This window comes from Homo sapiens, chromosome 20 (genome assembly GCF_000001405.40).
Source record: "Homo sapiens chromosome 20, GRCh38.p14 Primary Assembly".
NCBI classification, from domain to species: domain Eukaryota; kingdom Metazoa; phylum Chordata; class Mammalia; order Primates; family Hominidae; genus Homo; species Homo sapiens.
Window position 1 is genome coordinate 5701587 of NC_000020.11, and position 13893 is coordinate 5715479.

The window sequence follows — 13893 nt, forward strand, 5'->3', positions numbered from 1 at the left end:
CGAGTGATCCGCCAGCCTCGGCCTCCCGAGGTGCCGGGATTGCAGACGGAGTCTCGTTCACTCAGTGCTCAATGGTGCCCAGGCTGGAGTGCAGTGGCGTGATCTCGGCTCGCTACAACCTGCACCTCCCAGCCGCCTGCCTTGGCCTCCCAAAGTGCCGAGATTGCAGCCTCTGCCCGGCCGCCACCCCGTCTGGGAAGTGAGGAGCGTCTCTGCCTGGCCGCCCATCATCTGGGATGTGAGGAGCCCCTCTGCCTGGCTGCCCAGTCTGGGAAGTGAGGAGCGCCTCTTCCCGGCCGCCATCCCATCTAGGAAGTGAGGAGCGTCTCTGCCCAGCCGCCCATTGTCTGAGATGTGGGGAGCGCCTCTGCCCCGCCGCCCCATCTGGGATGTGAGGAGCACCTCTGCCCGGCCGCGACCCCGTCTGGGAGGTGAGGACCGTCTCTGCCTGGCCGCCCCGTCTGAGAAGTGAGGAGCCCCTCCGCCCGGCAGCCGCCCCGTCCGGGAGGGAGGTGGGGGGTCAGCCCCAGGCCCGGCCAGCCGCCCCGTACGGGAGGTGAGGGGCGCCTCTGCCCGGCCGCCCCTACTGGGAAGTGAGGAGCCCCTCTGCCCGGCCGCCACCCCGTCTGGGAGGTGTACCCAACAGCTCATTGAGAACGGGCCATGATGACAATGGCGGTTTTGTGGAATAGAAAAGGGGGAAAGGTGGGGAAAAGATTGAGAAATCGGATGGTTGCTGTGTCTGTGTAGAAAGAAGTAGACATGGGAGACTTTTCATTTTGTTCTGTACTAAGAAAAATTCTTCTGCCTTGGGATCCTGTTGATCTGTGACCTTACCCCCAACCCCGTGCTCTCTGAAACATGTGCTGTGTCCACTCAGGGTTAAATGGATTAAGGGTGGTGCAAGATGTGCTTTGTTAAACAGATGCTTGAAGGCAGCATGCTCGTTAAGAGTCATAACCACTCCCTAATCTCAAATACCCAGGGACACAAACACTGCGGAAGGCCGCAGGGTCCTCTGCCTAGGAAAACCAGAGACCTTTGTTCACTTGTTTATCTGCTGACCTTCCCTCCACTATTGTCCTGTGACCCTGCCAAATCCCCCTCTGCGAGAAACACCCAAGAATGATCAATTAAAAAAAAAAAAATCAAACTTTTCATTCCCTCTTTACAGTGTTGATGATCTCTATCTGAAAGTCTTGAGTGAATGCCTTTCTGGTTAATCAGTCACCATTGGCTGAGGGCAGGGGCTCACACCTGTAATCCCATCACTTTGGGAGACCGAGGTAGGAGTTTGAGACCAGCCTGGGCAACATTGCAAGACCCTGTCTCTATTTTATTTTATTTATTTATTTTTTTTGAGATGGAGTTTTGCTCTGGTTGCCCAGGCTGGAGTGGAATGGTGTGATTTTGGCTCACCACAACCTCCGCCTCCCAGGTTTAAGTGATTCTCCTGCCTCAGCCTCCTGAGTAGCTGGGATTACAGGCATGTGCCATCATGCCTGGCTAATTTTGTATTTTTAGTAGAGATGGGGTTTCTCCATGTTGGTCAGGCTGGTCTCGAACTCCCGACCTCAGGTGATCCACCTGCCTCATCGTCCCAAAGTGCTAGGATTATAGCCGTGATTAAAATTATTTTTTTAAAAAAGGCTGGGTGCAGTGGCACACACCTGTAATCCCAGTACTTTGGGAGGCCCAGGTGGGAGGATCACTTGAGGTCAGGAGTTTGAGATCAGCCGGGGTAACACAACGAGACTCCTGTCTCTACCAAAAAAAAAAAAAAAAAAAAAAAACAGAATCCTAACAACAATTAAAAAAAAAAGTAACCATCCTTTCTTTCTTAAATGAAGTAATAGCCCAGTTGCCTTTCCCCCTTGTATCTAGTGCTATTTAGAAAGAAATGGGAAACAAAGAGGGAGAGAAAGAGGGAGAAAGCCTAATATAATTGCACACTGACCTGCAAGGTAATTGAGATGCTTTCTCCACACTCCAAGATTTTTCCAAGGATAAAAAAACTTTCATTGTTATATTCGTGGTAAGTTTATATTTACATCAGTGTAATCACTAGCTTAAAGTGTCTGGTGGATTTTCCTGCTGGCAGCTTTGGTGAGTGAGGAACTTTATGCTCCAACAATGGAAAGCCCAAGTCTAGCTTTCCTTGCAGAGCTAAAAGAATGGGTTCCGGGAATGTCACAGCACTGACGTTTTCATTAGTCTGGAAACTTCATCACTGGAGTTGGTGGAAGTAAGATTTAAGTCTCAGATGTGACTTCTACAGTGAAAATACCAAAGAGCCTTCCTATGAATAATTAAATGGCTGTACTGAGCCAGAGCAACAGCAAAAGATAAAAAGCACCCGTTTGTCATCAGCCGGACTTAAAGGGGCTGAGTCCGGTTTTTATTCAACCTGCTTCAAGTGCAGCTGTGTCAGCCTTCACTCTTTTATTGGCAGGAAGGGAAGCTTTTGGTATCAGATGTTCTTCCACAGGAGAACTGCTTGTTTGCTTAGTGAAACTGCAATAATAAAATTAATTAAAAGCTTTTTATCATTTAGCTATAGCACAGAGGAAGTATAAATGGACATTCAAAATGGCAAGATGAGTTCAAGGCCACGTAGCAAATATACCTATAGTCAGTGTAAGGATTAAAACAATTAAGATGCTTTTGTCTTTTAATTTTTTTTTTTAAGAGAGGGTCCTGCTTTGTTGCTCAGGCTGGAGTATAGTGGTGCAATCATGACTCATTTCAGATTCAAACTCCTGTTATCGAGGGATCCTCCCACCTCAGCCTCCCAAGTAGCTGGGATTACAGGTGCACACCACCATGCCCTGCTAATTTTTGTATTTTTTTAATGCAATGGGGTCTCACTATGTTCCCCAGGCTGGTCCCAAACCCCTCGGCTCAAGTGCTCTTCCCACCTCAACCTCCCAAAGTGCTGGGATTACAGATGTGAGACTGTGCCTGACCTAAAATTCTTAAAGTGCTTAGTGCTGGCTCACAGGAAATATTACTATGCGGTAGCAATTCTTATTCCTGACCAGTTTTCTGTATTAGTTTCCTATTGCTGCTGTGACAAATTACCACAAGCTTAGTGACTTAAAACAACACAAATTTGGCCAGGTGCAGTGGCTCATGCCTGTAATCCCAGCACTTTGGGAGGCTGAGGCAGGCAGATCACAAGGTCAGGAGATCAAGACCATCCTGGCCAACATGGTGAAACCTTGTCTCTACTAAAAATACAAAAATTAGCTGGGCATAGTGATGCCTGCCTGTAGTTCCACCTTCTTGGGAGGCTGAGGCAGGAGGATTGCTTGAACCAGGAGGCGGAGGTTGCAGTGAGCCGAGATCGTGCCACTGTACTCCAGCCTGGGCAACAGAGTGAGACTCCATCTCACACACACACACACACACACACACACACACACACAAACAACAAAAAACTACAAATTTATCTTATAGCTCTGGAGTCAGATATTTCAAATGGGTCAGCAGGGCTGCATTCCTACTGGAGGCTCTAGTGGAAAATCTGTTTCCTTGCCTTTTGCAGCTTCTAGAGGCCACCTGTGTTCCTTGGTTCATAGCCCCACATCACTCTGACCTCTGTTTCCATCATCACGTCTCCTTTTCTGACTCTGATCCTCCTGCTTGGCTCCTATAAGGACCCATGTGATGACATTGTACCCACCTGGATAATTCAGAATAATCTTCCCATCTCAAATCTTTAATTTGATCACATCGGCAGTCACTTTTGTCCTGGTAAGGTAATGCCCACAGATTCTGAGGATTAGGGTGTGGTCTTGTTTGGGAAACAGGACATTACTCAGTTTACCACATCTTCTTTCAATTTCACTGCTCTAGGCTGGGCACAGTGGCTCACGCCTGTAATCCCAACACTTTGGGAGGCTGAGGCGGGCAGATTGCTTGAGTCCAGGGGTTCAAGACTAGCCTGGGCAACATGGTGTGATCTCATCTCACAGAAAAATATAAAAATTAGCTGGACATAGTGGAGTGCACCTGTGTCCCAGCTACTCTGGAGGCTGGAGTGGGAGAATTGCTTGAGCCCAGAAGGTCGAGGCTGCAGTGAACTGAGATTGTGCCACTACACTCCAGCCTGGGTGACACAGACCCTGTCTCAAAAAAAAAAAAAAAAAAAAAGAAAAGAAAATTTCTGCTCTATTTTGGCTGAAATGATAGCAGCTTCCATTGACTAGTGCTAGCCCTATGAGGGGGTTTAGAAATGACAGAAAATGCACTGGGTGTAGCAGATGCAGACCGCACTGTTATCCTTGCCCTTATTATTTCTGGGCTCCCTGGCCAGATTTTCAACTGCCCACAGTTATAACTATTTGCCTGAGGGCCTTCTGTGGCTGCCAGAGCTTAACTTGCCCCTGGGAGGCAGATGAGAAGTGTCAAGGAATTAGTCCTCCTCTCTGCCCCAAGCAGCTGTTAATCGATGGCTGATAACGACCCAACTCCCCTGCCCTTTGCTGAGAAAACTCCTAGGTGTGTGTTATACACAGTCTTCTAGAGTTCCCCAGTGGAGGCTGGGAGCAGTGGCTCATGCCTGTAACCCCAGCACTTTGGAAGGCTGAGGCGGGAGGATCGCTTAAGCCCAGGAGTTCGAGACCAGCCTGGGCAACATGGTGAGGCTCCCATCTCTATTAAACAAACAAGCAAACGAACAAAAACACAAAATTATAGAGTGCTCCCGTGGTCCGCGGTGTTGACTTGCTTGGTAATATGCCCTCTCCTCTGTGGTCTGCCTTCCCTTTCTGATCCCATTTTCTCTACTCCCCTAGTAATGTTTTCTGGATCATCTGGTAAATAAACTACTTACATGTGAATCCTTGCCTCAGAGTCTGCTTCTAGGGGAATTCAAATTAGCATATCGAAGCAATCAAGTAAGTTGTCAGTGTCCCATGGCTACTAAGTGATAGAGGAAGGTTTTGAACCCAGGTCTGCCGCAGAGCTCATGTTCTGTAACCGCTCCCAGTCACTTGTCTTTTTTTAAAAAAAATTTCCCTTTTCTTTTTCACCTGCTGTCAAACCCAGTCACTTCTTTTAGCTGGCTTTGCGGCTCATTGTACCTAAGGGAGACTGTGGACCCAGTGTGTAATAAAGCTAAAAGGTGCCTATTTTCAAGTTCCTGATTTGAAGGAAGAGTGTAGACCCTGATCTGGTGGGGATGGGGGTGCTGTAACTCTCAGGCTGCGGCCGAGTGTGGGAGCGCCCTGGGCATCCTTGGGCAGCACACACAGACTCATGGGTCAGATGGGAGTGGCTGGATTTCCACTATTTTTCTGCGTTCAAATTCTGCGGCAGGACATAGTAACAGAAAACTGGCTTAAAAAGTATGCGCATGCATGTCCTTTATCAATACGTAATGTGCTTACGGTAGTACACATCAGGACACAGACCCAGGACCCAGGCAACTTTCCTGGAATGTGGCTCTACTAGAAGTAGCTTTCCTAGAATATGGCTTTTAGCCCACAAACTGCCTGCACTACCGAAGAAGAAGGAAAAGAAATAGGTGGTCTGTCTCTGCTCCCATTTTGTTTGTTTGTTACTCTTTTTTACACTCTAGGGTTGATATTGTCATAATTTTATTTTATTTTATTATTTTTTTTTTGAGACGGAGTTTTGCTCTTGTTGCCCAGGCTAGAGTGCAATGGCATGATCTTGGCTCACTGCAACCTCCACCTCCCAGGTTCAAGCGATTCTCCTGCCTCAGCCTCCCAAGTTGTTGGGATTACAAGTGCCCTCCACCACGCCCGGCTAATTTTTTGTATTTTTAGTTGAGATGGTGTTTCTCCATGTTGGCCAGGCTGGTCTCGAACTCCTGACCTCAGGTGATCCACCAGCCTCCACCTCCCAAAGTGCTGGGATAACAGGCGTGAGCCACCGCACCTGACCGATATTGTCATAATTTTAAATCTGATTTCTGATTTCACTAGGACAAAAACTCACAGGAGAGGCAAGGCTGATTTGGCTAGTCTTTCTACCCGTAAGAGTTCTGTGAAGCTTTTTTTTTTTTTTTTTTTGAGACAGAGTCTAACTCTTTCCACCAAGGCTGGAGTGCAGTGGTGTGAACATGGTTCACTGCAGCCTCAACCTTCCAGGCTTAAGTACTCCTCCCACCTCAGCCTCCCTGGGACCATAGGTATGTGGAACCACACATGGCTAAGTTGGTTTTTTTTGGTTTGTTTGTTTTGTTTGTTTTTCTATATTTTTTGGAGAGACAGGGGTTCACCATGTTGGCCAGTCTGGTCTTGAACTCCTGGGCTCAAGCGATCTTCCTGCCTTGGCCTCCCAAAGTGCTGGGATTACAGGTGTGAGCCACCACCTTGGTTTGTTTTTTAAGAGACAGTCTCACTCTGTCACCCAGGCTGGAGTGCAGTGACCTAATCATAGCTCACTGCAGCCTTGAATTCCTGGACCCAGTTATTTTTGTTTTCTTTTTGTAGAGATGGGTTTCTCTTTATGTTGCCACCAGACTGGTCTTGAACTCCTGGTGTCAAGCAATCCTCCTGCCTCAGCCTCCAAAAGTGCTGCGATTACAGGCATGAGCCACCATACCCAGTAAAATTCTTTACCTTGTGAGGTTTATGTGTTTATTTTGTGTTCAGACACTTTAGTCTTTGGAGAAAAAAACCCTGAAAAACAAAGAGTTGCATTAGCATTAGAATATGAGAAAAAGAAGGGTCACATTTAGAATATTGCAAGGCTATCAATTCACAGAAGGTATACCTGGCACATCCCTCTGAGTATTGGATGCCACTTGGTTTGAATCCTTTACTTACGGGATAAAACCGTAGGTGTTCTACCTAATCTCTATCAGTTACCTTATCAGTGACACAGGTGATGTTACAGTTGTTGGCTGCATCCCTACTGGAAAGCTGGAAGAATGGTCCATGCTGGTACATTATTCGTGGGTTAATCTAACTCTACAGCTGCACCATCCCAGGAAGCCTAAAAAATGTGAAGGTTTAGGAAATTGAAACGTTATTGACTTTTTACTCCTTGGCATCTTGTCATCTCTCAGTCCTGGCTCTTTTATTGTTGGTTTATAATCCATGGGCTCTGAATCTACCACAATAACTTTATGTTATCTATTACATATGGTATTATATAATAGCAAATATTATATTATATTACCAATATCGTGTGGTTGGCTGCATAGCATTTATTGCAAAATCATGATTTGGGCACATTTTACTCAAAATATGTTTGAATCAATTAATTTTTTTAAATCTATTTTTAAAGACAGGGTCTCTCTCTGCCACCCAGGTTGGAGTATAGTGGCATGATCATAGCTCACTGCATCCTTGAACTCTTGGGCTCAAGTGATTATCCCATCTCAGCCTCCCAAGTAGTTAGGACTACAAGCGTGCACCACCACACCTGGCTAATTTATTATTATTATGCTTTGTAAAGATGGAGTCTCACTGTGTTGCCCAGGCTGGTCTCCAGCTCCTGGGCTCAAGTGATTCTCCTGCCTCAGCCTCCCAAAGTGCTGGGATTATAGGCATGAGCCGCTGTGCCCACCTGAATCAATTTACTGATTTTGTTTTGTTTTGTTTTTGAGACCGAGTCTCACTCTGTTTCCAGACTGGGGTGCAGTGGCGTGATCTCGGCTCACTGCAACCTCCATCTCCTGGATTCAAGCTATTCTCGTGCCTCAGCCTCCTGAGTAGCTGGGACTACAGGCGTGAGTCACCGTGCCCAGGTAATTTTTGTATTTTTAGTAGAGATAGGGTTTCACCATGTTGGCCAGGCTGGTCTCGAACTCCTGACCTCAGGTGATCTGCCCTCCTCAGCCTCCCGAAGTGCTGGGATTACAGGCGTGAGCCACCGCACCCAGACTTTGAACTATTGTTCTAAAAAAAAATAGATTTTACCTTGACCAAAGAGTTTGGGACTAAATATTTTCCCCACTAGAAACATGTTGAAGTACTTATGTGGGAAAAGGGAACAGCACAGGAAATGTTGCTGAGCAAATCTCTTTACCCCCTCTTTTCAGACTGCAGTTTCACGGGGATTCCTACGCCTAAGTGCTAACACGTGTGCCTAGAAAAACAGAGGTGGCATGGATGTTAGAAGGCCGTGTGCAAGTGGATGGCATCCAATCCATAGAGTGCTTAGAGAACAGTGGAGAAAAGATGAAGGGACAAAGAGATTGTGAAGCCAGATATCCTAAGGCTGTTGAGAGAAGCTCAAGGGGGATTGGGAGTTGGAGACTTCATCCCTCATGTGGCTGAGCTGCAAGAGTAGCTCACTCCTTTCTTGATGACAGTTACTCCAAGTCAGATAATATTTTGCCTGGCCTCCGCTCAGTAAATTGAAAATGTGCAGCCATTTGAAACTACACCATGGCAGTGGCTCATACCTGTAATCCTAGCACTTTGGGAGGCTGAGGTGTGCAGATTGCTTGAGCCCAGGACTTTGAGACCAGACTGGGTTACATAGTGAAAACCCATCTCTACAAAAATAAAAAATAAAAAAAATTATCTGGATATGGTGGCCAATACCTATACTTCCAGCTACTTGGGAGGCTGAGGTGGGAGGATCATCCGAGCCCAGGAGATTGAGGCTGCAGTGAACTGAGATTGCTCCACTGTACTCCAGCTTGGGCTACAAAGTGAGACTCTGTCTCCAAAAACAAAACAAAACAAAAAACAAAAACAAAACAAAACAAAACAAAAGAACTACACCATGGGCCAGGCATGGTGGCTTGCACCTGTAATCTTAGCACTTTGAGAGGCCAAGGTGGGAGGATTGCTTTACGCCAAGAGTTCGAGACCTGCCTGGGCAGTATAGTGAGACCCCCCATCTCTAATAATAATAATAATAATAATAATAATAATAATAATAATAATAAAAATAATAAAAAGTTAAACTACTCTAGGTGCAGATTTTGGGGGCACAAGGATTTGCTGTGCACAAGCTGGGACATAGCTGCCTGTCCTGAAAACGGAGGGGTCTTGTCCACTTTCCCACCATACGCTGTGGTCATCCTTTTGACAGTCCACTCCATTGATGGAACAGATAAATCAGAAGGCCTGCTGGAAGGAAACCAATTGTTCAACTCTGCTTTTGCAAAAGAATTCAAGTCATTTAAGGTTAGCCTTAAAATAGAACACCCCAGTAATGTGATCAACATGGAACAAAAGCTTCAGGAGAGACAGGAGGTCAGAGAGAAAATGATACCTCTGGTCGGCAACCCTGCAGAGACTTCCAGGAATAAGCAGGTAGCAGGCTCAGAAATGCCACTGATATCTGATGTGCCAGCAGTTTCCAAAGACCCTGGATGTTCCTTGATTCTTTACTACTTTTTTGTGTCACCAAACACTGACTCTTACATAAGACAATTTCTGAACAGAAATTGAATATAATCTCATTAATTAGATAGGGGAGATGAATTGCAATGTAAACTTAGTGAAGAATTGGTACCTAGACAAAAGAAGGGAGTGTGAGCTCACCAAGGGTATCCACAGTCAAATTACTTTGTCTGTTGGGGTGGGCTGCTTAATTGGTGTTTTATTCTTTTGTTTATTATTGATGGTTGTGAACAGGGTCTCACTCTTTATCTTTTCTTCTTCCAAGACTTGTGTTAAATATATACTAGACCTTCTCACACTGTCTTCCAGGTCTTCTCTCATTCTGATCTGAATTTATTTTTATTAGTCTTACGTGTCTTTTATCCCCTAATTTACTCATAATGGATATTAAAAGTTGAAACAAGTTAAAGACATGTCCCATACTTCTAGAAATATGCTTAATGTAATCAAACATTGAATTTTCTCCTTGATTTTTAGGTATTCTACCCTTACAGCTACAAAAACACTTCTACTCTTAGAAAAGAAGAAGAATGCCGGGCGTGGTGGCTTACACCTGTAATCCCAGCAATTTGGGAGGCCAAGGCAGGAGGATGGTTTGAGCCCAGGAGTTCAAGACCAGGCTGGGCAACATACCTACTAAGACCTCATCTCTAAAAAATTGCATGGCATGAACCCAGGAGGCGGAGCTTGCAGTGAGCCGAGATCGTGCCATGGCACTCCAGCCTGGGCGACAGAGCAAGACTCCATCTCAAAAAAAAAATAAAAAATTACATGGCCGCGCACAGTGGCTCACACCTGTAATCCCAGCACTTTGGGAGTCCGAGGTGGGTGGATCACGAGGTCAGGAGATCGAGACCATCCTGGCCAACATGGTGAAACCCTGTCTCTACTAAAAATACAAAAATTAGCTGGGCATGGTGGCACGCACCTGTAATCCCAGCTACTTGGTAGGCTGAGGCAGGAGAATCACTTGAACCTGAGAGGCAGAGGTTGCAGTAAGCTAAGATCACGCCACTACACTCCAGCCTGGGCGACAGAGTGAGACTCCATCTCAAAAAATACATACATACATATATACATACATACATGCATGCATAAAATAACTTTGTTGTTGTAAATCTGAAATCCTCTAACCTCTAATCTTCATCATGACATTGAAACAATTGTCTCCCTTTATATTTTAATTCTGTTAAGATTCCATGTGACATTATTATTTTGTTTTTGTTTGTTTGAGATGGAGTTTCACTCTCTTGCCCAGGCTGGAGTGCAACAGTGCGTTCTGGGCTCATTGCAACCTCTGCCTCCCGGGTTCCAGCAATTCTTGTGCCTCAGACTCCCAGATAGCTGGAATTATAGGTACGTGCCACCATGCCCAGCTAATTTTTGTATTTTTAGTAAAGACGGAGTTTCACCATGTTGGCCAATCTGGTCTTGAACTCCTGACCTCAAGTGATCCTTCTGCCTTGGCATCCGAAAGTTCTGGGATTACAGGCATGAGCCACTGCACCCCGCCTATTTTTGTTTTGTATACTGAATGCTTATTTAAAATTACTCACATATATAGCAATTATTTGCTCTTTATTCCTTCTTGCACCTCTGATTTTCATTTTGGATCATTTTCATTCTCCCGAAATAATGCCTGTTAGATTTTCCTTTAATGCATGTTTGCTGGTGGTTGAAGTCTTCTTGTTCAGTTTGTCTAAAATGTTTTTATGTTGCCTTTTACCCCCAACTTGTACTTGTAATTGCCTTTGTTCTGGAAGGATACTTTTGTCGTCAGTAGGATTCTACATTGGCAGTTATTTTCTTTCAGCCAACTGAAGATATAATTCCATTCTCTTCTAGCTCCTGTAAATAAGTCTTTTGAAAGGAATCTCTTTTTCCTGTGAATACTTTAAAATTGTTCTCTTTGGTTTCTGAAGTGTCTTCATAACATATCTAGGCGTTAATTTAAAAAAATTTATACTCTTTGGGATTTGTTAGGCTTCATGAATCTGTGGGTTGATGTCCTTCATTAGTTCCAAGAATTCTTAGGTATATATTTTTTCAAATGTTGCTTCTGCCTCATTCTTTGTCTTTTCTTCTTCTAAGACTCGGGTTAAATATATACTAGACCTTCTTCCATTATCCTCTAGATCTCCTCTCAAGTCTTGTGTGCTTTATGTCTTTTTGTCTTTCCGCGCTATATCCTGGATAGTTTCTTCTGACCTATCTTCTACTTTATGAATTATCCTTTCAGTTGTATCAAATATGTTTATTCCATCTGCTATGGACTGAATTGTGCACCCCTATATTCATATGTTGAAGCCCTAACCCACAATATGACTGTGTTTGGAGACAGGTCCTATATAAGGAGGTAATTAAGATTAACTTCAGTTATAAGGGTGGGTACCTGTTCTGATAGGATTCATGCACTTAAAGCAGAGACACCAGAAAGCTCACTTTCTCTCTCTCTGCCATGCAGAGAGAAGGTGGCTATTTGCAGCCTCATTAGAAACCCTAGCAGAACCTTGATCTTGGACTTTCCAGCCTCTAGAATGGAGTCTCCCTCAGAATTATTGTCTGATAAAATAATTTATGTTTTTAAACCACACAATCAGCTGGGTGCAGTGGCTCATGCCTGTAATCCCAGCACTTTGGGAGGCCAAGGTGAATGGATCACTTGAGTCCAGTAATTTGACACCAGCCTGGACAATATAGCAAAACCTCATCTCTACAAGAAATGACAACAACAACAACAAAATTAGCCGGGAGTGGTGGCACACACCTGTAATACCAGCCACTTGGGAGGCTGAGGCACAAGAATCATTTGAACCTAGGAGGCAGAGGTTGCAGTGAGACACGATCAGGCCACTGCACTCCAGTCTGGGTGACAGAGTGAGACTCAAAAGAAAAAGTAAAATGTTTTTTAAAAATGAAAGAATAGGCATTTAAACTTTTACCCGGGAAATTTCTTTTTCTTTCTTTTTTTCTTTTTCTTTTTCTTTTTTTTTTTTTTTTTTTTTTTTTTTTTTTTTTTTTGAGGCAGGGTCTTGCTCTGCCCCGAGGTTGGAGTGCAGTGATGTGATTATGGCTCCCTGCAGCCTCAACTTCCCAGCCTCAAGTCATCTTCCCACCTCAGCTCCTGAGTAGCTGGAACTACAGGCACATACCACATGCCCAGCTAACTTTTTTATTTTTTGTATAGATGGGTCTTACTATATTGCCCAGGCTGGTCTCGAGTTCTTTGGCCGCAAGAGATCCTCCCACCTCAGCCTCCCAAGGTACTGAGATTACAGGTGTGAGCCACTGTGCCTGGCCAGAACTCTCACTATACAGTCCTATCCATTTACAGCCCTTTGCCTACATGTCCTTAGATCTGTGTTTCCCAGATTTTCCCATAAATTCCCTGCAACCTTCCTTTTGACCTTGAGTGCTCTACACAGTCATCCCATTTCTAGTTCATCTATAGGAATAGTGGAGTTGACAGCAAATAATGTTTTTCAACTGCTTGAATATTAGAGTCCTTCTCCCTTGTACAGCAATATATGTCTATGATGAAGCTTAGTAAAATAGCTGTAGAACGAATTCGGAGATAAAATTACAGGAACTCTATAACAGCACATGTGGCTTTTCTCTGTCTCTGAATCTACCTCTTCTGGAAATGAACAGGAGTAACTTAGGTGAGCTCACAAACATAGCTACTACCATGCAGTATGTACCCTTACACCACCCCTGCCCCCACTCCCACTGTAGTTTCCTGGGCTTTAGTCTGTTCTAAGTTCTTTGATGCTTGTGAAGCTACTTCTGCTGACTTTGTTGACACTGACATTGTTACCATGGTTACCAGGGAAGTCAGACAATATACTGAAGGGGAGTTGCTTCCTGCCCTAACCAGGACAAAGACACTATAACCTTTGAGGTTGCTGGTGTATCCGTGTCCTCAGTGAAGAATTCATGTATGAGCTGAGGTTGCCAAAGAAGCAGGGAAGCTTTCTTCCCCCTCCTTTGCCTCACACTCTGTTACACTGAGTTAGAAGACATTTACCTGTGAAAACCACAATGACACACTGTTCTACCTAAGAGGCTGGCAAGATCAAAATGACTGATAAACTGTATCAGAAAGGGCGTGGAAAAACAGATATTGTTGGTGGAATGTAAATGGACATAATCTCTTTAGGAGAACAATTTGGGCATCCATACCGTTTGATGGAGCAACTTTATCCCTAATTTATAGCGCAACGTGTGCAAAACAAGCACATGGATAGAATAGTCAATGTGGCAGCATCTGTAAGTCGAAGATTAGAAACAATGGGACAGCACACTCAGTGTGGCCTTTCCATGTGCCATTGGCTCCACTCCCAGTTCACCTGCAGCCAGGGAGGAAGGTTCTGTATGTGCTGACAAGGCTCCCCACCTCAAGCCACCTGCAGCACCCTCAAGGGAAATCTTCAACCAGTGATAATGAAAGATGACGCATGTCTTAGTCTACTCAGGCTGCCATAACAAAATACTAAACACTATGTGGCTTAAACAACACAATTTTATTTGCTCACAGTTCTTGATTCTAGAAGTC

The 13893-nt window shown here is 44.7% G+C and overlaps 1 long non-coding RNA gene across 1 annotated transcript, besides 2 other annotated features; it reads right to left on the reverse strand.

Moving 5' to 3' along the window:
* Positions 757 to 1051: a silencer, noted in NCBI's record as "tiled region #5332; HepG2 Repressive non-DNase unmatched - State 22:ReprW". NCBI's record gives its function as "represses a minimal TATA promoter and a strong SV40 promoter by Sharpr-MPRA in HepG2 cells {active_cell/tissue: HepG2}" and the evidence as "EXISTENCE:reporter gene assay evidence [ECO:0000049][PMID:27701403]".
* On the reverse strand, positions 2046 to 6965 carry LOC105372514 (uncharacterized). The gene is made up of 3 exons (XR_937224.1): positions 6843 to 6965; positions 6594 to 6653; positions 2046 to 2514 (listed from the first exon to the last, which is right to left on the reverse strand). It is a non-coding gene; the product is annotated as an uncharacterized LOC105372514 (long non-coding RNA).
* Positions 12997 to 13291: a silencer, noted in NCBI's record as "tiled region #14731; HepG2 Repressive DNase unmatched - State 5:Enh". NCBI's record gives its function as "represses a minimal TATA promoter and a strong SV40 promoter by Sharpr-MPRA in HepG2 cells {active_cell/tissue: HepG2}" and the evidence as "EXISTENCE:reporter gene assay evidence [ECO:0000049][PMID:27701403]".